Source organism: Homo sapiens, chromosome 1, assembly GCF_000001405.40.
Source record: "Homo sapiens chromosome 1, GRCh38.p14 Primary Assembly".
Classification (NCBI taxonomy): domain Eukaryota; kingdom Metazoa; phylum Chordata; class Mammalia; order Primates; family Hominidae; genus Homo; species Homo sapiens.
Window position 1 is genome coordinate 37,530,825 of NC_000001.11, and position 24,576 is coordinate 37,555,400.

Below are 24,576 nucleotides of genomic sequence, written 5' to 3' on the forward strand. Positions count from 1 at the left end.
GTTCTTTAAGTGTTTTCCAAATTTAAGGAATTTTTCTGTAAGCTATCTATAGTTTGCATTTGCTTTTCCTTCCTACTTGATTTCCCCAAATTTTGGAAACTAGTCATGAGTGTTCTTATTTTTATTTACACCAGTTCAATAAAAATCTGTACTCCCTGGATGACAGAAGAAAAAAAAATAATAAAATCTACTCTCTTTTTACAGGCAGGATACAGTTGGAAACATTGGTTATATTACTAAGGCTTTGACTGAAATGTTATATTTAAGAATATGCATACAATGCCTAGCTTCAAGAGTTCCTGGCCCTACACTAAGTGAGTCAAACTTGACATCTTTCAGCCAGGTGTGGTGGCTCATGCCTGTAATCCCAGCACTTTGGGAGGCCGAGGCGGGCGGATCACCTGAGGTCGGGAGTTCGAGACCAGCCTGGCCAACATGGTGAAACCCCATCTCTACTAAAAATACAAAAAGTAGCCAGGTGAGGTGGTGCGTGCCTGTAATCCTAGCTACTCGGGAGGCTGAAGCAGAAGAATCACTGGAACCTGGGAGGCGGAGGCTGCAGTGAGCCGAGACTGAGCCACTGCACTCCAGTCTGGGGGACAGAGTGAGACTCTGTCTCAAAAAAAACAAAAAAACAAACAACAACAACAACAACAAAAAGGACATCTTTCACATTTGTCCCTTTTGATCAAGATCTGGCAGATCCAAGAACCTTTAAACTGTAAGTATAGTCTAAAGTTTGCCTTGGTTTGGCTTCCTAGGCTCAAGAGCATCTTAAATCTGAGATTTGTATGTAATCAATGTAGAGAGAAAATGTTTTTGTTTTGGGATTTTTTTTTTTTGAGACAGAGTCTCACTCTGTCGCCTAGGCTGGACTACGGTTGTGCTATCACTGCTCACTGCAGCCAGGACTTCCTAGTCTCAGGGCGCTCCTCCTACCTTAGCTTCCTAAGTAGCTGGGACTACAGGTGCACGCCACCATGCCCAGCTAATTTTTTGTATTTTTAGCAGAGACGGGGTTTTGCCATGTTGCCCAGGCTGGTCTTAAGCTCCCGGGCTCAAGTGATTTGCCTGCCTTGGCCTCCCTAAGGGCTGGGATTACAGGCATGAGCCACTGCACCTAGCCAAAAGTTGTCTTCAAAAGAAAATCTATGACGTGTGGTGACTCACGCCTGTAATCCCAGCCTTTTGGGAGGCTGAGGTAGGAAGAAGACTAGGAGTTTGAGACCAGCCTGGGCAACATAGCAGAACCTTGTCTTTACAAATAATTTTAAAAATTAGGCCAGGTGCAGTGGCTCACACCTGTCATCTTAGCACTTTGGGAGGCTGCGGTGGGCGGATAACAAGGTCAGGAGATCGAGACCATCCTGGCTAACACGGTGGAACCCCGTCTCTACTAAAAATTCAAAAAATCAGCCAGGCATGGTGGCGGGCGCCTGTAGTCCCAGCTACTCAGGAGGCTGAGGCAGGAGAATGGCGTGAACCCAGGAGGCGGAGCTTGCAGTGAGCCGAGATCACGCCACTGCACTCCAGCCTGGGCGACAGAGCGAGACTCCATCTCAAAAAAAAAAAAAAAATTCCAGGGATGGTAGTGTGCTTATAGTCGCAGCTACACAGGAGGCTGAGGCAGGAGGATCACTTGAGCCCAAGAGTGTGAGGCTGCAGTGAACTATAATAGTGCCACTGTACTCTAGCATGGGCAACACAGTGAGACCCAATCTCTAAAAAAAATTGTTTAAGGTTTGGCACAGTGGTTCATGCCTATAATCCCAGCACTTTGGGAGGCTGAGGCAGGAGGATCACTTGAGCTTAGAAGTTCAAGACCAGCCTGGGCAACATAGTGAGAGACCTTGTCTCTACAGAAAAAAAAAAAAAAAAAAAGCCAGGCTGACAGTTGCAGCTGAGGTGGGAGGATTGTTTGAGCCCAAGAGGTCAAGGCTGCAATGAGCTGAGATCACACCACTGCACTCCAGCCTGGGTGACAGAGCAAGACCATGTCTAAAAACAAAAAAAAAAAAAGGAGGGGTGTGTGACCCACTTGTAATCCCAGCACTTTGGGAGGCTGAGGCAGGAGATCACTTAAGCCTAGGAGTTCAAGACCAGCCCTGTCAACACAGGGAGACCCCGTCTCTACAAAAACTTACAAAATTAGCCAGGCGTAGTGGTGTGTGCCTGTTGTCCCAGCTACTTGGGAGGCTGAGGTGCACAGATGACAAGCTCAGGAGATCGAGGCTGCAGTGAGTGGTGCTGTGCCACTGCACTCCAGCCTGGGTGACAAAGAGAGACCCTGTCTCAAAAACATAATAAATTGGCTGGGTGTGGTGGCTCACACTTGTAATCCCAGCACTTTGGGAGGCCGAGGCAGGCGGATCACGAGGTCAGGAGTTCGAGACCAGCCTAGCCAACATGGTGAAACCCTGTCTGTACTAAAAATACAAAAAATTAGCTGGGCGTGGTGGTGTGCACCTGTAATCCCAGCCACTCAGGAGGCTGAGGCACGAGAATCACTTGAACCCAGGAGGCAGAGGTTGCAGTGAGTGGGGATTGCACCACTGCACTCCAGCCTGGGTGACAAAGCAAAAAAAAAAAAAAAAAGAATGTGGCATCTAGAATCAGAGTGACTGGGTCTAAATTCCAGTCCTACCTACCACTGTGACCATAATGTCCCTGTGCCTCAGTTTTCTCATCTGCAAAATGGAACAACCGTTGAAGCCTGTCTTGTTGGGTTGTGAGGATTCAATGAGTTCATGAATGAAGTAGGACAAGTAAAATGCTTAGGACTGTGCCTGGTACATAGAAAGTGCTCAATATTGGCCAGTTTTATTATTGAAGTCTCAGTTTACATGTTCTTTGGCATCCCGTTACTGAATATTTTTCTATTTTTATGAACCAAGATGATGATTTCCAAGTAGCTCTAGCTGTGACTTGGTGAGGTGAGGATTTCCCTAAGCCACCCTCTACTGCAGAAAGTCCCACCTCCTGTGATTTCCTTGAACCCCCTAGTTATGAATTGGGCAGCCTAATGAATCAGTTGTCTTTTCCTTCCTTAACTCTCTGCTAAGCTCTGCAGGCAGGAACAATCCAGCAGGAAGATCACTGAGCCAGGACTGAGGTGATTTCTCATCCCAGGTTTACCACTGACGTGTCATGGGTCTTGAGGTAAACAACTTAATTTATAGGGTCTTATCCACAGTCCACTGCAGTCCTGCTAGTCCCTGGACTGCTCAGTCTGGCATGATGTCCTCCTTTACTACTGACTCCAAATCAAACTATTTTCTAAGGTATACCTCAACTGTCATCTCTTCCACAAGGTGCGGCCCATCTCCAAATTATTTGTTTTTCTTTTTTTTTAAAAGATGAGGTGTCACTATATCACCCAGGCTGGTCTTGAACTCCTGGGCTCAAGTGATCCTCCTGCCTCAGCCTCCCAAGTAGCTGGGACTACAGGCACATACCACCACACCTGGCTATTGCTCCCTTTCTAACTTAGCTGTAAACCAACTGCATAAACTTATGCAACTATTGCTGACTGGATTAATTCACTTTAGAGTAAATGTGAACAACTGTTTTTAGAATTGTTTCCCATTTGATAAATACACTGGAAATTTTACCCAAGAGACCAAATGAAGCTTTACATTCCAAAACTTTAATGTCAATTAAGCAGCCTTTTCACTTGATATAAACTCACATACCCAGGAACACTGTGGGCTCAGAACATTATTTCACAAGCAGGTATTGCTGGCACGTTGTTTGTGTCACGTTTAGATTCCGATTAAATGACATCATTTTGTTCCTCAGATCCTGACATACACAATGAAAGTATTTGAAAGTTACATAACCAGTTGCACTTAATGAGTCATCCTTTGTCAATATTAGAATGAGGGAACCAGGATATGACTAGGAAGAGACTCAAGGGGTAAAATCTGAAGATTCTGTCCCATACCTCTGCAGAATCATGGACCCCCACAGAGGACTTAGGGGAGGGGCTCAGAAGCAAAGGGCTGTTTTGAAAATAGTTTGATTTTGACACAATGATTTGCAGACAAGCCCAGCCACCGTGGAGAAAAGATAGAGAATGAAGAAGTTCCAAATGGCTAAGATGAACATGAACTTCTAAACAGAATGAAAGCTCTAGGATTATGTCCACTTTAAGAAGTCTGCTGGTGATATCTGGCTTTAGAGGCAGGTAATGTCTTTTGACACCCTTTCTTCAAAGAAAGGGGTAAGGGAAAACAAGACCAAAAAAAAAAAAAAACACCTTCTCAGGCCAGGCCTGGTGGCTAACACCTGTAATCCCAGCACTTTGGGAGGCTGAGAGGGGCGGATCACAAGGTCAGGAGTTCGAGACCAGCCTGGCCAATATGGTGAAACCCCATCTCTACTAAAAAAAAATAAAAAATAAAAATTATATATATAAATTAGCCAGGCTTGGTGACAGGTGCCTGTAGTCCCAGCTACTTGGGAGGCTGAGGCAGGAGAATCGCTTGAAACTGGGAGGCGGAGGTTGCAGTGAGCCAAGATGGTGCCACTGCACTCCAGCCTGGGCGACAGAGTGAGACGCCATCTCAAAACAAACAAACCAACAAAAAAACCCACCTTCTCAGATATGTGGCATAAAGAATTTCTTAATCCAGGACGTTATTCCTCTACTAAAATAAAAACTGACTAAACAATTAGGACTTCTTACTGAAAAATGTAGGCAAAGTGGTCATCTATCACAGTGCCCACCAGGATGAAGTTTGTAGCAAAACTCAAGGCTACCACAAAGTAGTGCTACTGCAGCACAGACTGAACAAGGAGATCCTAGAGTAAGATACCAGATTAGTGCTTAAACCCTCAAGAGAAAACCGTCAGTCTGGATCAAGAGAAAAGTTCATCCAAACAAACCTACTTTTCAGACAAGCACATATATATGATCTATGGCACATACCAAAATGAAGAAAATAGCAGTTACAGTGGCCAATGTAGAACACATTCTTCAACTTACCTTTTTTTTTTTTTTCTGAGACAGAGTCTCGCTGTCACCCAGGCTGGAGTGCAGTGGCACAATCTCAGCTCGCTGCAACCTCCACCTCCCGGGTTCAAGCGATTCTCCTGCCTCAGCCTCCCGAGTAGCTGGGATTAAAACAGGCATGTGCCACCACGCCCAGCTAATTTTTGTATTTTTAGTAGAGATGGGGTTTCACCATGTTGGCCAGGTTGGTCTTGAACTCCTGACCTCAGATGATCTGCCCACCTCAGCCTCCGAAAGTGTTGGGATTACAGGCATGAGCCACTGTGCCCATGCCCGGCCCAACTTACGTTTCATCTAATGACCTTATTAAGTGTTCACTTTTCAAAGGATCTTTTAACTTCTTCTGAATGAACATTAGTCAGCTGCCCCTCCCACTAGCCAATCTTTAGCCCTGAGCACACATGGGTATAAAAACAATGGAAAACAATCAAATTTAATAGTATCCTAAGTCTCAACCCAAGAGGAACAATTAGTAGTAACACTGATTGAGCTGCTTCACCACCTTTCCCCACAACCCACCTCCATGTCACCATCTGCTATTCCACTGACTTGGAGGCCAACGATATAACCTGCCCCACAACACTCTAAAACAGCTACCTACTTTTATCTCAAAAGTACTGACAGAAGGCTCCATTAGCAGCAAACAGACCTATGAACACAAGGTCCTCTACGCTAGGAAAGCATTACTCTTTGAAATGGGGCTATATTTACAAATTTTATTTTTTTATCCCAAAAATACATATAAATGAAAACCTGCTCTTCAAATGCAGGGAGGCCTTTGCCTAACATTGTCATATGAAAATCAGTATCAGCTCTTTAACACACAATTTACATATATACATACATACACACTATATGTAAGCAGCAAATACTTTGCTACTTACACATATTCCTCTGGTGGAAAACTAGGACACTGGGAAATTCCCCTGCTTTCCAACCTTGGGAAGGTAAATACAACCTCTCTCAACAACTTTTTAAAGGATGAAATGTGTAGAAACATGTAAACAACACAACCTGCTTTAGATCTATACATGTTATTAGAATAAAGAAAGAACGCTGTCACATCAGTGACAGTTTATTTCTCAAAGAAAAAAAGAGATAACATTTGAATAAAAATGCAAAACTGAAGTACAGTTAATATGATCAAAATTGTTGTGTACATGCTCCATGGAGAAATCAGGAATTCTTTCACAAAGAACAGATCCACAGCCAATTTCAGTCACTTGTGATGCTGAATCAGCACCCACTGGTAGCAACCAGGATCCTTCTGTACAGTCACGGGCTTGAGCAGGTGCCATAAAGCATCTGTTTAAGTTAAACAGTCAATAATGTTTACTGACTGCAGTACATTCCCACCCCCCAAAAAAATAAGTGCAAAATCAACTTCTAAGCTCAAGAGCTCAAACAAGTCAAAGCTTTGGTATATACTGGAGGTTGTTTTGGTGATAACCAAAGCCTAGTAAGATTCTCTGCTCAGGGGTTCGCCCCAAAAGAAAAACACCTGGTCCACAAAGCTTAACACCTATATAAATAAAGTAACTGTACAAAGAGAACAAGCCATGATTTCCCCTTAACCAAGGGTTTATAGTTTCCTAGGCAGCAGTTCTGAAAGCACCAACTAAAACCACAACACTTCTACTAAAACACGGTGTGTTGTAATTGGTGAGACTGTTCTGAAAACAAATGCCTGCAGGCATGTGGCCAAGGTGCCACAGAAAAAGTTTAACAAACATTAGTCAGTGTATTCAAATGGTAACACAATCTGGTCAGCAACAGAGGAAAGACTTAAGGCAGTAAGAGGCATTACAGAGAGCACCATAGTGCTGGACCCACCACCATAGTGCTCTCTGAGTCAATCAAAGACTTCCAAGAAGGAAACCGTGTATCAATAGTTTGGGTTCTTAGTTTGCTAGCTGTCAGACACTTCTTCCTCCTCCTCCTCATCCTCGTCATCTTTCCTGTCTATTTCAGAAGTGTCCGACGACTCATGGAGCAAGACGTATTCTCTGCTACTGAATCCAAATTTGAGTACATCCTTTTCTTTTAGTTCATAGTATCTCTGTGGCTCAATACGTTTGTTGTTTAAGAAGGTTCCATTGCCTGAGCCAAGGTCAATGATGTAGGGCTTCACTCTTCGGCCAACTGTGCCATCAGCACGGGTATATTCCACAAGCCTAGCAGAAAAAAAGGAGAAACCTGTGAGCAAACTTCTGCCTCAGATCATCCAGCTTCTCTAAAGCTCTTTGCTAAGATAGCCTAGATGACGTAAATAACCTGGCTTGAGCACAATTCAAGTTAAAATTCTAGGGAATCAAAGAAATCAAGGGGAAAGCATGGCCCTGGGAAGGAAAATTGGAAGTTTAAATATACTTAGAAAAGGTGAGAATGGACCGGGCGCGGTGGCTCACGCCTGTAATCCCAGCACTTTGGGAGGCCGAGACGGGCGGATCACGAGGTCAGGAGATGGAGACCATCCTGGCTAACATGGTGAAACCCCGTCTCTACTAAAAATACAAAAAAATTAGGCAGGTATGGTGGCGGGCGCCTGTGGAGCCAGCTACTTGGGAGGTTGAGGCACGAGAATGGCGTGAACCCAGGAGGCAGAGGTTGCAGTGAGCCGAGATCACGCCACTGCACTCCAGCCTGGGCAACAGAGCGAGACTCTGTCTCAAAAAAAAAAAAAAAAAAAAAGGTGAGAATGAGTTGCTGGAAGGTGGGGAGAATCCATGGTAGATCAAAAGGTGGAAATGCAGAATCCAATGTCTCTTGCTGTGGTTAAGAAAATACATTTTTTTCTGTTGTTTATAATCAACATAATGTTTCTTTAACCTATATTTCAATATATTTTAGTTCCTGTCCAAATGGGAAAAAACAGTGCACTTGGACTTCAGAGTCAAGGGAGCTATATTTGAGCCAGAGTTCTACTATGGCAGGGGTCCCCAGCTCCTGGGCCATGGACTGGTACCAGTCCGTGGCCTGTTAGGAACCGGACCACACAGCAAGAGGTGAGCAGCGGGCAAGCAGGCAAGCGAGCCAAACTTCATCTATATTTTCAGCTGCTCCCCATCACTTGAATTATCATTGCCTGAGCTCCGCCTCCTGTCAGATCAGCAGTGGCATTAGAGTCTCGTAGGAGCATGAACCCTATTGTGAACTGTGCACAGGTGGGATCTAGGTTGCGCGCTCCTTACGAGAATCTAATGCCTGATCTGTCACTGTCACCCATCACCCCCAGATGGGACCATCAAGCTGGAGGAAAACAAGCTCAGGGCTTCCACTGATTCTAGATTATGGTGAGTTGTATAATTATTACATTATATATTACAATGTGATAGTATTAGAAAATAAAGTGCACAATAAATGTAATGCACTTGAATTATCCCGAATTCCCCCGGTTCCATGGAAAAACTGTCTTCCATGAAACTGGTCCTTGGTGCCAAAAAGGTTGGGGACCACTGTACTATAGTGATCATTTGTTAGGCAAGTCACTTGGTTTTGCTGGGCTTCAGTCTTCTCATCTGTCAAATGGGGATACAAATACGTGTCCATTCGAAGTCAGGAGACCATGTTAAAAAACAAACAAACAAAACGGGCCAGCCGCAGTGGCTCACACCTGTAATCTCAGCACTTTGGAAGGCCAAGGCAGGCGGATCACGAGGTCAGGAGTTCGAGACCAGCCTGGCCAATACAATGAAACCCCGTCTCTACTAAAAATACAAAAATTAGCTGGGTGTGCTGGTGTGTGCCTGTACTCTCAGCTGCTCGGGAGGCTGAGGCAGGGGAATCACTTGAACCCGGGATGCAGAGGTTGCAGTGAGTTGAGATCGCGCCACTGCACTCCAGCCTGGGCACAGAACGAGACTCCGTCTCAAAAAACAAAAAATCTATCCTATCCTTCTCACAGGATTGTTGTGAGAATCATCACAGATGTCCCATGCAAGCTATCAAGATCCAGTTTCAAAATTAGCTGGGCACAGAGGCACACGCCTGTGGTCCCAGTTACTCAGGAGGCCGAGGCAGGAGACAATCATTTGAGCCCAGGAGGTTGCCGCTGGAGTGAGCTGTGTTTGCTCCACTGCACTCTAGACTGGGTGACAGAGTGAGACCTTGTCACAAAAAAATAAAAAATAGATTAAAAGTTTAATGTTCTTATAAATATGTAAGCAATTATTTAAAGGGCAGTTAGATTAACAATACTCTTTAGATAACATATGAGGGGTATGGGATTCTTCTGCATAAACATGAACAAAAATCTTAGTAATCCTAACTGAGTGATTGTTTCTGCTCACATTACAGTTTCTTCCTCCATGTTACTTACCGATATTGAAAGACCGCATGCTGCTTTGAACAAGACGGGTGATCAATTGGAATGTCTGCAATGCGGCGGTGTCGACCCAGTAGGTACGCACTCTGTCGATGTATGTACATGACTGGAAGCACCTCATCATTTTTAAATGGGTAGAGACGCCACCGTTTTTTGGGGATACGTGCTTCTGGGGGCTCACTATATTTAATGACTACACCCCGGAAAGTGTTGGTGTCCTCAAGAAGTGCCCCAGAAAGTTCAAAGCTTGGTTTTTCTTTAGCGGGCACCTCTTTTTCTTTGTTGTTGCCACCAGGCCGAGGAACCAACTCCTGAGACTCACTGCCGCCACCACCAACGTCATTCCTCTGGCGATGCTCCCGTCGCCTGGCATTATAAAACTCCCGCTCTTCTTCCTGAGCCTGCAGGTTCTGAGTGTCTCGATCCCGTCCCTGACCCTGCCCACTCCCAGGCCTCTCGTTAGACGTTCTCCTTTGGTGGGAATGGCCCCGGTGTCTGTCCCGGTCACTGTTCCTAGCTCTCCTGTGTTCCTGTTCTGATGGTTCCCTGTGCTGCCGATCCTCCCGTCCTCTCCGGGGATGATCCTCACGCTCCTAAAATTCAAACAGATTCTGTAATTTAAACGCAGTGCACAATCTAAAGGCAGCCCAAATCTTGTTCTTTTTGAACGAAGTGCATGCAAAAAGTCTTGTAATTTGGACTTTGGCATTTAGAACAACATTTCCCACAGAAATAAGATTATGTCTGGTGGTTATGTTCCCTCGCAAGGCCACAAAGATGATATCCCATGCTGCTATTCAACTATAGCCCTAATAGCACAAGTCCAGGTCCACAGCCCTAAAAACAAGAGACTATTTAGTCCAGAAAGGAGAAGGAAAAATAATTCCCTCCTTTTCAGAACAAAGGTAACTATGGGCAAACTTACAGGGAAGAATATACAGAAAATAGAACTAAGAGTTAAGTAGTCAGGTACAAGATATGTAAAGAAAGAAACTAGCTTTCTCTCATGCCAAAAGTGAAAATATAATAGTAAGTTTTTAAATCCTACTTCCATAGTTAAAAAAAAAATTCAATACCTAGAAATAAACTTAAGAAACATGAAAGACATATAAGAAGAAATCTGTAAAAATTCATTAAAATAAATGTTTTTTAAAGATGTGAAGAAATGGAGAAACATACCATGATTTCTTGAAAAAGATAGCAATGAAAATCAGCCTAGGCCAGGCATGGTGGCTCAAGCCTGTAATCCCAGCACTTTGGGAGACCGAGGCGGGTGGATCACCTGAGGTCAGGAGTTCCAGACCAGCCTGACCAACATGATGAAACCCTGTCTCTACTAAAAATACAAAATTAGCCAGGTGTGGTGGCACATGCCTGTAATCCTAGCTACTCAGGAGGCTAAGGCAGGAGAATCGCTTGAACCTGGGAGGCAGAGGTTGCAGTGAGCCGAGATCACGCCATTACACTCCAGCCTGGGCAACAAGAGTGAAACTCCTTCTCAAAAAAAAAAAAAAAAAAAATTCAGCCTGGTAGAAAATGTTTGCAACACAAACCATACAGTAGTCCCAGGGGGATACATTTTAAGTATGGTGGATGGCTGAAACCACGGATAGTACCGAACCTGACTGCCATCAAATGCAACACATTTCTGTTCATGTCTTCCACCCATAAATGTAATGCCTTTTCCATCTTAACTAAGCACTTGTGAACTGTGGCTATAACTTTTACAGTATGAGGTACAACAGCAAAACTAGCATGAATTTCTTTTTCCTTCTCCACAATTTCACAATAGAAGATTCATTCTTACTATCGATCTTAGCAACTTCAATATATGATTTGAAAAGTTTTTTTTTGTTTTAATTTCTTTAAGTTGAGAACTTTCAACTTTTCGTTTAAAGGAAGCACTTTACAGCTTCTCTTTAGCATTCCTAATTGCCAAAATCACTACTATTGCATTTTGGGGCCACTACTAAATAAAATAAAGGTTACTTGAATCCAAGCACTGCAAACTGCAACAGTTTTCTGAAAATCAGGATGGCTACTAAGTGATGGACAGGCAGGTAGCGCATACAGCACAGATACACCAGACAAAGGAAGGATTCACGTTCCTGGTGGGACAGCAGAAGTTTATACCAAGTGACTCAGGATAGTGACCAATTTAAATTTTATGAGTTGTTTTTTTCTGGAGTTTTCCATTTAATATTTTCAGATGCAGAAAGTGAAACCACAGATAAGGGGAGACTACTGCATATTAATATATCAATAAGAAATAATTCAACAGAGAAACTGATAAATGGTCAGGTGCCAGTGGCTCACACTTGTAATCCCAGCACTTTGGGAGGCCAAGGCGATGGATCGCTTGAGCCCAGGAATTTGAGACCAGCCTGGGCAACATGGCGAAACTCTGTCTCTACTAAAAATACAAAAATTAGCTGGGCACAGTGGTGCATGCCTGTAGTCCCAGCTACTCGGAAAGCTGAGGTGGGAGGATCGCTTGAGCCTGGGAGGCAGAGATTGCAGTAAGCCAAGATTCCACCACTGCACTACAGCCTGGATGACAGAGCAAGACTCTGTCTCAAAAATAAAAAAAGAACAGAAAAATGAACAATTTTCAGAAGAAATAAATGTCCAAGGGCCGGGCACAGTGGGTCACGCCTGTAATCCCAGCACTTTGGGAAGCCAAGGCAGGAGAACTGCTTAAGCTCAGGGCAACATGGCAAAACCCCATTTCTACAAAAAATACAAAAATTAGCCAGGCACGACAGCATGCACCTGTAATCTCAGCTATTTCGGAATTTGAGGTGGGATGATCACTTGAGCCCAGGAGGTCGAGGCTGAAGTGAGCTATGATCATACCACTGCAGTCCAGCCTTGGCAACAGAGACCCTGTCTTGAAAAAAAAAAAAAAAGAATTACATGTCCAATAAATACATGAAGATATGCTTACCCTAATAACCAAAGCATCAAATTCTAAAAGAAATATGAATTTTCTCTCCTTAATTAGTAAAATTAAAAAGATCAATAATATCTAGAGTCAAAAAAGAAGGTACAGGAAAAATGGGTATTTTCAGCCACTGCTGGTACAGGTATAAACTAGCATAGCCTATTTAGGTCAATTTGACATTATTTAATCAAAATCTCATCAACCACTAATGCCACTTATAGAAATCAATCCTACAGAAATACTAGCAGAAACGCACAAAGACATACATATGAATGTGTTTACTGTAATTTCGTAATTTAAAAAAAAAACTGGAAACAACCTAATGTCCTGCAATGGTAGAATGGTTAAATTATTATCTATTCATACAAAGGAATACTTCACAGCCATGAAAAAGAATGAGATAATGACATAGAAAGATATCTAATATATTGTTAAATGGGAGGGGAAAAAAGAGAAGGGGCAAGTTTCACAATAAGACCACATATTTCTATATATAGACTTGGCAGATGAGCTACTTGGAGAGATGTTCCCACTATAATTTAACTAGATACTTATTAAATTTTTAATGCACTGTTGGGCTTTCAATAAGCAAGGCAAAATCTCCAATGAGAAAAAAAATCTCCAAAGGGGGGTAAAAAAAAAAAAAAGATTTGAGCCCTAAGCATAAGCTCAAATACTAAAGAATACTAGACACACACAAGGAAATGGAAACAAGCCACTGAGCATGAGAGGCAGCAGAAACAAGTCTTATAGGCTGGGCATGGTGGCTCACGCCTGTAATCCCAGCACTTTGGGAGGGCAAGGGGGGGGGCAGGTCACTTGAGGTCGGTCAGGAGTTCAAGACCAGCCTGGTCAACATGGTGAAACCGTCTCTACTAAAAATGCAAAAATTAGCCAGGTGTGGTAGCGCATGCCTGTAATCCAGCTACTCGGGAGGCTGAGGCAGGAGAATCACTTGAACCCAGAAGTGGAGGTTGCAGTGAACAGAGATGGAGCCACTGCATTGTAGCCTGAACGACAAAGAGAGACTCCGTCTCAAAAAAAAAAAAGAAACAAGAGGCCGGGCGAAGTGGCTCACGCCTGCAATCCTAGCACTTTGGGAGGCTGAGGTGGGTGGATCACAAGGTCAGGAGTTCAAGACCAGCCTGGCCAAGATGGTGAAACCCTGTCTGTACTAAAAATACAAAAAATTAGAAGGGCGCGGTGGCAGGCGCCTGTAATCCCAGCTACTTGGGAGGCTGAGGCAGGAGAATCACTTGAACTCGGAGGGCGGAGGTTGCAGTGAGCCGAGATCACGCCACTGCACTCCAGCCTGGGTGGACAGAATGAGACTCTGTCTCAAAAAAAAAAAAAAAAAAAGAAAGAAAGAAACAAGTCTTATAGATGTAGATCCCCAAGGACTTCATTCATGTACAAAAATGTTGTTGTGTATTCTTGTTTCAAAAAGAAAAAAATGAGACGTTCTTTGCGGAAAGTCCCTGGAGTTTCCTGGTTCAACAGTGCTTGGACGGAACCAGGCACTCGTACCCCACTCCGGCTGGCCGCCCATAGCTAGCCCTCTGTTACCTCTTCACTGGGCCCTCTGACTGTCCCAAGGCCCCCGCCGCCACTCCAGCGCCGTGCAGCCACCGCCGCACAGCCACCGTGGCCACCACCATGACGACTGCGCGTCCCCCTCGCAGGTGCGCCAGAACTACCGCCATCAACCGCCAGATCAACGTGGAGCTCTATGCCTCCTACATCTACCTGTCCATGTCTTACTACTTTGACCACAATGATGTGGCTTTGAAGAACTTTGCCAAATACTTTCTTCACCAATCTCATGAGGAGAGGGAACATGCCAAGAAACTGATGAAGCTGCAGAACCAATGAGGTGGCTGAATCTTCTTCCTTCGGGACTTCAAGAAACCAGACCATGATGACTGGGAGAGCAGGCTGAATGCGATGGAGCATGCATTACATTTGGAAAAACTTGGGAATCAGTCACTACTGGAACTGCACAAACTGGCCACCGACAAAATTACCCCCATTTGTGTGACTTCACTGAAACACATTACCTGAATGAGCAGGGGAAATCCATCAAGAATTGGGTGACCATGTGACCAACTTGCGCAAGATGAGGGCACCCGAATCTGGCTTGGCAGAATATTTCTCTGACAAGCACACCCCGGGGAGACAGTGATAATGAAAGCTAAGCCTTAGGCTAATTTCCCCATAGCCATGGGGTGACTTCCCTGGTCACCAAGGCAGTGCATGCATGTTGGGGTCTCCTTTACCTTTTCTATAAGTTGTACCAAAACATCCACTTAAGCTGATTTGTACCATTCCTTCAAATAAAGAAATTTGGTACCCCCCGCCCCCACCAAAAAAAAAAAAAAAACAAAGAAAAAACTTCTTGTTATGGACTAGGTAAGGTACAAAAATGTTTACAGATAATTAAGGTTAAAAATTTTAAAGCAGAGAGCAGTAAGAGACTTTCAAAATGATTAGGGAGAAAATTAGAATGACACAAAAATTAGCATGGCCCCTAATTTAAAAAATACATAATAATAATAAAAATGATTAGGCAGGCAGGACGCAGTGGCTCCCACCTGTAATCCCAGCACTTTGGAAGGCCGAGGCGGGTGGATCACTTGCGTCCAGGAGTTCGAGACCAGCCTGGGTAACATAGTGAGACCCACCCGCCGCCCTCTCTAAAAATAATAATAAAAATAAAATTAAAAACTAAAAATTTAGGTGACTCCACACCCATTAGGATGGCTACTATCAAAAAACTGAAAATAACAAGTATTGGCAAAGATGTGGAAAAATCAGAACCCTTGTACACTGCTGGTGGGAATGTAAAATGGTATAGTTAGTGCGGAAAACAGTACAGTGGTTCCATAAAAAATTTAAAAATAGAATCGCCATATGATCCAGCAATCCCATTTCTGGATATCCCAAACAAATGAAAGCAGGGTCTCAAATAGATACTTGAGCATCCATGTTCATTGCAGCATTATTCGCAATACCCTAAAAGTGGAAGCACTGGGACTAAGACCCCCCCCCCCCCCGCTCCCTGCCATACACAGGGCTCAAGTGAGGGGCTGCTTGCTTAGAGTGGGACTCAGTTTTTCTAGACTTCCTAGCCTAGCACAGACATGCATCAAGAGAGAGCCTCAGACAACCACCCTTCCTACTCCAAAACATTTACAAGCTTGCCACTGCTATCTGCCTTGAGTTCACCAGGACTAATCTCATCATGTCCTTTATCCCTTATTAAGAGTCATTATAATAAGCCATAACGGCCGGGTGTGGTGGCTTATGTCTGTAATTCTAGCACTTTGGGAGGCTGAGGTGGGTGGATCACTTGAGGTCAGGGATTCAAGACCAGCCTGGCCAACATGGTGAAATCCCATCTCTACTAAAAATACAAAAATTAGCTGGATGTGGTGGCACGTGCCTACAGTCCCAGCTACTTGGGAGGCTGGGGCAGAAGAATCACTTGAACGCCAGAAGTGGAGGTTGCAGTGAGCCAAGATTGCACCACTGCACTCCAGCCTGGGTGACGGAGTGAGACTCTGTTTCAAAAAAAAAGAGAAAGAAAGAAAGAAAAAGTATTGTTTTTAAAAATTCAGTTCCCAATTCCTCTCCTCTGTCTTCCCTTGAACCCCTCCAATCAGGTCTCACCCTTATTACTCCACTAAAATTGCTGGTCAAGATCACCAGTGACCTCCATGTTGCTAAATCCAGTGGCCAATTCTCAGTCTTCATTTCACTTAACTATCAGCAGCATCTAACAGAGTTAATCACTCTATCCTCAACACACTTCCTTCTAATGGCTTCAAGTTACCAGATTCTCTTGCTTCTCTTTCTTTCCAGTCTTCTTTGCTGATGTCACTGCAATTTCTTCACACTGGATCGCCCCTGGATTCAGTCCTTTGTTGGTTGTTCTTCTATCTACAGTCATTTCCTTAGTAATTTTCATCTAATCCTAATACTTTACATACACCTATATGCAGGTGAGTCTCAAATGTTTATCTCTCCGTTATTTAGAAAGAGGGTCACTGCAGATGTAATAAATTAAGGTCATACTGAAGTAATATAGGTCATTAATCCCACGTGACTGGTGACCTTGGAAGAGAAGAGATAGAGAGATTCATGGGAGAAGGCCATGTGATGATGGACAGAGAGTCTATATCATAGTGATTACCTCTGGCAAGTGAGGTGGAGGTTTTTTGGTTGAGGAGGTGGTGCAATTTTGGGGACGAGAGAAGTAAACCATACTCTCATTTTATATTTTACATACCTCTGTATTATTACAATGAGCATGTAATCAATACATTTGTTTCGAAAATGGTGGTTCAGTTGGGTACGGTGGTTCATATCTGTAATCCCAGCACTTTGGGAGGCTGAGGCAGGTGGATCACTTGAGGTCAGGAGTTTGAGACCAGCCTGGCCAACATGGTGAAACCCCGTCTCTACTAAAAATACAAAAATTAGCCGGGCATGGTGGCACGTGCCTGTAATCCTAGCTACTGGGGAGGTTGAGGCACGAGAATCGCTTGAACCCAGGAGGCAAAGATTGCAGTGAGCCAAGATCACACTACTGCACTCTAGCCTGGGCAACAGAGCAACACTTCACCAAACAAACAACAACAACAACCAAAAAAAAACACAAAATGGTGGTTCAGAGGTTGAGAAAAGAATAAAGTAATCATTTGGTATCCTCAGGAGATTGGTTCCAGGATCCCCAGTGGATAAAAAAGATTATCTCAGGGCCAGGTGCAGTGACTCATGCCTGTAATCCCAGCACTTTGGGAGGCCAAGGCAGGTGGATTACGAGGTCAGGAGATGGAGACCATCCTGGCTAACATAGTGAAACCCTGTCTCTACTAAAAAAAAAATACAAAAAAATTAGCCAGGCATGGTGGCGGGCGCCTGTAGTCCCAGCTACTCAGGAGGCTGAGGCAGGAGAATGGCGTGAACCCCGGGAGGCGGAGCTTGCAGTAAGCCGAGATCGCACCACTGCACTCCAGCCTGGGCAACGCAGCGAGACTCCATATCAAAAAAAAAAAAAAAAAAAAAAAGATATCTTAGGATGCTCAAGTTCCTTATATAAAAATCTGTGAATATCCTTCTGTATACTTTAAATCATCACTAGGTTATTTATAATACCTAATACAACGTAAATGCTATATAAATAGTTGTTATACTGTTATTTGTCTTTTAAAATTTGCTTTTTTTTTTAAAACAGTCTTGCTCTGTCACCCAGGCTGGAGTGCAGTGGTGCGATCTTGGCTCACTGTAATCCCCGCCTCCCAGGTTCAAGTGATTCTCCTGCCTCAGCCTCCCAAGTAGCTGGGATTACACGCGCCCACCACCACACCCAGCTAATTTTTGTATTTTTAGTAGAGACGAAGTTTCACCATGTTGGCCAGGCTGGTCTCCTGACCTCAGGTGATCCACCCGCCTCGGCCTCCCAAAGTGCTGGGATTACAGGCATGAGCCACTGTGATCGGCCCAGACTCTAATCCCAGTTACTTGGGAGGCTGAGGCAGGAGAATCCCTTGAACCCAGGAGGCGGAGGCTGCAGTGAGCAGAGATTGCGCCACTCCAGCCTGGGCAACAGAACGAGACTCCGTCTCAAAAAAAAAAGAAAAAAAAAAAAAAAAGACGACTGAATTCTCATCCCTCAAAATTGAGAATAAGGCAAGAGTGTCTGCTCTCATTACTCTTTTATCTCTCCTTGCCTGACGCCATCCGTGTGATTTGCTCCTCCTTGCTTCCCACCATGATTGTGAGGCCTCTCCAGCCATGTGGAACTGTAAGTCCATTAAACCTCTTTCTTTTGTAAATCGCCGGGTCTCGGGTATGTCTTTATCAACAGCATGAAAACGGACTAATGCAAACAACAAAAGGAAATAAAATGCATTCAGATTGTAAAGGAAGAAATAAAACTGTCCCTATTTGTAGATATGATTGTCTACGTAGAAAATCCCAAGTAATCTTAAAAAAAAAAAAAAACTAGAATACATTAGTTCAGCAAGGATATAGGATGAAGATAAACACACAAAAATGAATTATATTTCTATATAGTAACAATGAACATTTGGACACTCATTTAAAATACCCTTTATAATCATTCCACAAAGAAATATGTATAGGATTTATAAGCTGAAAACTACAACCACTGATAAAAGATATCAAAGATGATCTAAATAAAAGGGGAGATACACAATGTTCATGGATTAGAAGATTTAACATAGTAAAAAGTCAATTATTGCCCCCAAACGCCAGTTTAACACAAATCCTATCAAAATCCTAGCAAGACTTTTCTTTCAGATCTCACTCTGTCGCCCAGGCTGGAGTGCAGTGGTATGATCACTGTTCACCGCAGCCTCAACCTCCTAGGCTCAAGTAATCCTCCCACTCAGGAGCTACTCAGCCTCCTGAGTAGCTGGGACCACAGGCATGCCACCACGCCCAACTAATTTTTGTATTTTTTGTACAGATGGGTTTCACCATGTTGCCCAGGCTGGTCTGGAGCTCCTGAGCTCAAGTGATCTGCCCACCTCAGCCTCCCAAAGTGTTGGGATTACAGGCATGAGTCGCTGTGACCGGCCCAGACTTTTTAAAAATAGAGGCAAGATTGTTCTAAAACTTACATGGATGAAAAAAGAAGCTGAATAGCTAAAGCAATTTTTATAAAGAAGACTACAATGGGAAAAATCAGTCCATACAATTTCAAGACTTATTATATAGCTATAGTAATCAAGACTGTGTGGTATTGGCAGAGTGACAGACACTGACAAATGAAACAGAACAGAGATTCCAGAAATAGACCCACACAAATATGCCCAACTGATTTTTGACAAAAGAGCAAAAGTAATTCATTGGAGGAAAGATGGTCTTTTCAACAAATGGTGTTGATGCAAGTGGACATTCATAGGCAAAAAAAACAAAAACAAAACAAAACAAAACAAAACAAAACAAAAACCCTGAAACCCTGAAAAGAAACTGAAAGCAGATCATGGACTTTTAAGAAAAAAAATTTAGGAGAAAATTTCAGAGATCTAGGGCTAGGCAAAAAGTTCTTAGCCATGACATCAAAAGCACAATCCATAAAAGGAAAAACAGATAAGCTGGACTTCATTGAAATTAAAAACTTTTGCTCTGAGATAAACCCTGTTAAGAAAATGAAGACAGCTACAGACTGGGAAAAAATATTTGTAAACCATTTATCCCCAAAGGGCTAGTATCCACAATATAAAAAGAATTCTTAAACACTAAACAGTAAAAAAGCAAATAATAGTATTAGAAAACAGGCAAAAGATAGCTGGGCATGGTGGCTCACTTTGCTGTAATCCCAGCACTTTGGGAGGCTGAGGCAGGTGAATCACCAGAGGTCAGGAGTTCAGGACCAGCCTGGTCAAAATGACGAAACCCCATCTCTACTAAAAATACAAAAATTAGCTGGGCATGGTGGCACGAGCCTGTAATCTCAGCTACTTGGGAGGCTGAGGCAGGAGAATCCCTTGAACCTGGGAGGCTGAGGTTGCAATGAGCTGAGATCGCGCCATTACACTCCAGCCTGGGCAACAAGAGTGAAACTCCGTCTCAAAAAATAAAAAATAAAAAATAAAAAATAAACAGGCAAAAGACATGAGACATTGCACCTGAGAAGATACATATAGATGGCAAATAAGCACATGAAAAGACGTCCAAGGCCAGGTGCAGTGGCTCACGCTTGTAATCCCAGCACTTCGGGAGGCCGAGGCAGGCAGATCACGAGGTCAGAAGTTTGAGACCAGCCTGGCCAACATAGTGAAACCCTTTCTGTACTAAAAATACAAAAAATTAGCTGGGCGTGGTGGTGGGCATCTGTAATCCCAGCTACTCAGGAGGCTGAGGCAGGAGAATCACTTGAACCTGGGAAGGGGAGATTGCAGTGAGCCAAGATCACGCCATTGCACTCCAGCCTGGGTGACACACACACACACACACACACACACACACACTGACACACAAAGAAAAGATGTCCAATATCATAAGCCATTAGGAAAATGCAAATTACGGGAAGCTGAGGCAGGAGAATCGTTTGAACTCAGAAGGCGGAGGTCGCAGTGAGCCGAGATCGTGCCACTGCACTCCAGCCTGGGTGACAGAGCCAGACTCTGTCTCAAAAAAAAAAAAAAAAGGAAAACGCAAATTAAAATCACAATGAAATACCACTACACGCCTATCAGAATGGCTAAAATAAAGTGATAACTTGAAATGCTGATAAAGATACAGGGAAACCGGATCATTCATACATTGCTGGTGGGAATATAAAATGATACAGCCACTATTACGGACTAAATTGTACCCTCCAAAATTAGCATGTTAAAGTACCAAACCCAAGTACCTCAGAATGTATTAATAACTTTTTGGAGATGAGGTCTTTAAAGAGCTGGTTAAGTTAAAATGAGGGTAGGGCCCTAATCCAATATGGCTGAGAAAAGACAACAGGACAGAAGAAAGATCATTTGAGGATATAGCAAAGAGGTAGCCATCTGCAATCCAAGGACAGAGGATTTTTTTTCAGGAGATTCCAAACCTGCTAACACCCTAATTTTTGACTTTTAGCCCCATAACTACAAGAAAATGAATTTCTGTTGTTTAAGCCACCTACTCTATGGTATTTCATTATGGTGGCCCTAGGTAAACTAATACAGCCACTCTGGAAAACAGTCTGGCAATTTCTTAAAAGAATTAAACCTGCAACTACCGTACAATCCAGCAATTGTACTCCTGAGCATTTATCCCAGAGAAATGAACTCTTAACGTTCACATAAAAACCTGTACACAAATGTCTATATAGCAGCTTTATGTGTAATAGCCAAAAAATGGAAACAACCCAGATGTTCTTTAATGAGTAAGTGGCTAAATCCATGCCATTTGGATACCACTCAGCAATGAAATGGAACAAACTACTGAGAGATGCAACCTGAATCAATCTCCAAAGGATTCTGCTGAGTGAGAAAAGACAATCCTAAAGGTTACATACTGTATGATTCCATTTACATAACATTCTTGAAATGACAAAATTATAGAAATGAAGAACAGATTAGAAGTTGACAGAAGTTAAGGAAGGATAAAAGTGGGAGATAAGTGGGTTTGGCTACAAAAGGACAACACGAGGTATTCCTTGCGGTGAAGGAAATGTTATCTTGACTATATCGATGTCAATATTCTGATGATGATATTGTACCACAGTTCTGTTATGAATAGATGTTACCACTGGGAGAAACCAGGAAGAGTATATCTCCCTGAATTATTTCTGACAACTGCATGTGAACCAATAATAATCTCAAAATAAAAAGTTTAATTTAAGCAAACAAGCAGAAAAAATAAATACAGCCAGTTTTCAGAAAAGCCCATCGGAGGTACAAGTAGAGATGTAGGCGAGCGTACGTGCACATGTGTGCACACACACAACACACACACACATTCCTCTTTAGCTGTGATAGGAAAAGGCTCTCAATTTGGACCCATCAAAACACCCCAATCCACTTACCTGCTTCACTTTGACTGTTGAGTGGTGAGGACTTCGGTTTCTCTTACTGCGAGGAGACTTGCTTCTTCTCCCTGAGGCCTTGTTTTTCTTTTTGGGTGGGGACCTATTCAGAGCATGGTACACAGGATTTTATCGCAATTTCCCTTCCCCCATAAAAATTAGCTTCCAGTATCAGGCTTACCTACTAACACAAACACCGCATTTGTGAAGGTCTCTGCCGGTCACATTAAAGGAGTCACGAGGTTCACTTTCCTAGCCCTAACATCTCCCTTGCATTCCATACTCACATAGACAACTGTCTACTGAACCTTCTCACTTAGGTAACATAACTCTTAATTCCCAACCCTTCAAAAACCTTTCCTCTCCTACTCCTTGCCATCTCGCTGATTGGCATCACCATCCGTAAGTCACCCTTGACTCTTTATCCTTCACTACCAACACCCCTACCATCAATAACAATCCCTCCATCCTGTGGTTCTACTTCCTCCCTGTGCCATCTCATTCCTACCACCCACCTTCTTGACCACTATAATCCACCGACACTGGCTTTTTCCCATTTCAATCATAATTCATTCTACTTCAGGTTCTTTGCAGATGTTGTTTCCTCTGCCTGGATCTTTAAGAGGTTGGATCATTCTTATCAGTCAGGTCTGGGCTCAAATGGCACCTCTTTAGAGAGTCCTCCTCCCTCTTCTCTCCAATCTCTCACTATCACATTACTGTTTTAATCTATCAATAATACTTGTTACTAACTGAAACTATTTTGTTTATTTTTTTATCATGTCTCAGGGTTAGAGCATAGCCAATTTGGCATCGGTGAAGATCATCTAACTGAATCACCCTTGCAGCCCCAATACCTAGGGCAGTCTTTAACACTTAATAGGCACTCAGTAAAACTATGGTGAATGAATGCATAAATAAATGAGTCTAGCAAGAAGTAACTTTTTTTTTTTCCCCAGTTTCTGTTAGGTAGCTCGCTTAGACCTCGATGTGAAAACCTTTCTGGCAGGTAACCGGAAAGACAACGCCCACACTCCATTTGTGGGAGGGATGGGGAAAATCTCAATCCAATTTAACAGATTATCAGTGCTATCTGTTGGGCCACACTCTTCGAAGTGCTAGGAACACAAGAATGAAGGAGTGGGATCCTGCCGGTTAGTCATTAGGCGTTGAACACCGAGCTATAATGCAAGTGACAGAGCAAGCATAACACAAGCACGACTGGATCACTCTCAACAGCCCCTCAGGATTAAGTCCGGGCTGCTGCGCCCACCATTCAAAACCTGTTTCGGACGCTAGCCCTGCCCGCCTTTCTGAATGAGCCCAACCCAATGTCCATCCTGGACTGCTCCCCCACTTACCGGCTAACTCCTCGGGCTCGGTTCCCGCGGTGGCCCGAGCGGGCCGGCTCGCTGGTCGGCGGAGACGGGCTACCACCGGAGTGGTCCGGACGGCGGTGGGCGGGAGGTGCGACTTCTGGGCTGAGACGCTCCTGCTTCACCACCACCCCCGCCGGCAGCACCACGTCCCCGTCCCGGTGTCTTCGCCGGCTCCCTCGCTCCCGTTCGCTCTTCACCGCCTTCATTCTGTGATTTTGGCTGGGCGAAAGAAAACAGATCAGTTGAGCTCCTCTAGCTGGAGGAAATGACGAGTTTAACTCCTGGACTTCCGCTTCCGGGGTGCCCAGGCTCCCAGAAATCCTCGCGGCAAAGGTTAAACACGTGACTACTCCCTAGTGGGTGTGGCCGCAGCGACAGGCTTGGGTGGCGGGAGTTTCAAGTTTCAAAAACAAACTTCTGGCTGGGAGTGGTGGCTCACGCCTGTAATCCCAGAACTTTGGGAGGCCGAGGCTGACGGATCACTGAGGTCAGGAGTTAGAGAACAGCCTGGCCAACATGGCAAAACCCCGTCTCTACTAAAAATACAAAAATTAGCCGGGTGTGGTGGCGCGCACCTGCAATCCCAGTTACTCGGGAGGCTGAGGCAAATGAATCACTTGAACTGGAGGCGCAGGTTGCAGTGAGCAGGGATCTCACCACTGCACTCCAGCCTGGGCAACAGAGCGAGATGTCTCAAAAACAAACAACAACAAAAACTGGGAAAAAGCAAACCTCTCAAGGCTGTTTGTTGCCACATTATTAGTAATTACAAAACGTGGAAACAATGTAAATACCAGCAGTAGGGAAGTTAGCCAAATTAATGGGTGTTATGTGGCCATTAGTAAACCATTTACAAACTTTAAAAACCCTGACTTGTTAACGATAAAGCAGGATACAAAATTGTGTGCAAACTATAATTACATTTACATTTGGAAATAGAAGGGAGGAAGAAATGGAAATGCAATCAGAGATGATAACCCATGGGCAAATCATTAGCTTTTCAAATCATTAGCTTTTCCTCTTCTATTTCCTGAACTTTCTGCAATGCTGTTGGGGCTCAGAAACCAAAACCCCAAAATACGGCTCACTGACAAGCTGAACTGAAGAAGCCTCAATGTTCCTTTCCAGTGCCCATCATCTCTCCCAAAGCACAGGTCTTTATCTGCCTAAGATCCAGACTACCAAAAGGAATAATTGTTTCTTTCTTCTCCACCCAAGAATGTAATCACACCTGACCAGAGACCCTTATACTGTCAAAAGTAGCTATTTACAGCCGAGCACGGTGGCTGCAGCCTGTAATTCCGGCGCTTTGGGAGGCCAAGGCAGGAAAATCGCTTGAAGCCAGGAGTTTGAGACCAAACTGCCTAACATAGCAAG

The 24,576-nt window shown here is 43.8% G+C and overlaps 1 protein-coding gene, 1 long non-coding RNA gene and 1 pseudogene across 2 annotated transcripts, besides 3 other annotated features; 2 read left to right on the forward strand and 1 right to left on the reverse strand.

Moving 5' to 3' along the window:
• Positions 1-198: 198 nt before the first annotated feature.
• Positions 199-7,912, forward strand: LOC105378649 (uncharacterized). The gene is made up of 3 exons (XR_947190.3): positions 199-721; positions 3,063-3,159; positions 7,865-7,912. It is a non-coding gene; the product is annotated as an uncharacterized LOC105378649 (long non-coding RNA).
• Positions 2,842-4,041: an enhancer, noted in NCBI's record as "P300/CBP strongly-dependent group 1 enhancer chr1:37999267-38000466 (GRCh37/hg19 assembly coordinates)". NCBI's record gives its function as "activates an origin of replication core promoter dependent on BRD2, BRD4, P300/CBP, MED14 and CDK7 cofactors, with strong dependence on P300/CBP, by STARR-seq in HCT116 cells {active_cell/tissue: HCT116}" and the evidence as "EXISTENCE:reporter gene assay evidence [ECO:0000049][PMID:35650434]".
• On the reverse strand, positions 3,625-23,469 carry SNIP1 (Smad nuclear interacting protein 1). The gene is made up of 4 exons (NM_024700.4): positions 23,182-23,469; positions 21,821-21,923; positions 9,333-9,931; positions 3,625-7,188 (listed from the first exon to the last, which is right to left on the reverse strand). The coding sequence occupies exons 1-4, from the start codon at positions 23,403-23,405 to the stop codon at positions 6,924-6,926; spliced, it is 1,191 nt and encodes a 396-aa protein (NP_078976.2). The 5' UTR covers positions 23,406-23,469; the 3' UTR covers positions 3,625-6,923.
• Positions 8,867-10,066: an enhancer, noted in NCBI's record as "BRD4-independent group 4 enhancer chr1:38005292-38006491 (GRCh37/hg19 assembly coordinates)". NCBI's record gives its function as "activates an origin of replication core promoter dependent on BRD2, P300/CBP, MED14 and CDK7 cofactors, and independent of BRD4, by STARR-seq in HCT116 cells {active_cell/tissue: HCT116}" and the evidence as "EXISTENCE:reporter gene assay evidence [ECO:0000049][PMID:35650434]".
• On the forward strand, positions 13,739-14,634 carry FTH1P1 (ferritin heavy chain 1 pseudogene 1; annotated as a pseudogene).
• Positions 23,192-23,251: a silencer, noted in NCBI's record as "silent region_673". NCBI's record gives its function as "represses an Ori minimal core promoter by ATAC-STARR-seq in GM12878 lymphoblastoid cells {active_cell/tissue: GM12878}" and the evidence as "EXISTENCE:reporter gene assay evidence [ECO:0000049][PMID:35858748]".

Bases quoted from the DNA above. Each gene is read 5' to 3' on its own strand.
- SNIP1 (NM_024700.4), bottom strand. From the start codon at position 23,405: ATGAAGGCGGTGAAGAGCGAACGGGAGCGAGGGAGCCGGCGAAGACAC. The intron at 9,932-21,820 runs GTAAGTGGATTG...TTTGAATTTTAG, and splicing joins CAACAGTCAAAGTGAAGCAG to GAGCGTGAGGATCATCCCCG. The intron at 7,189-9,332 runs GTAAGTAACATG...TTTTTCTGCTAG, and splicing joins CATGCGGTCTTTCAATATCG to GCTTGTGGAATATACCCGTG.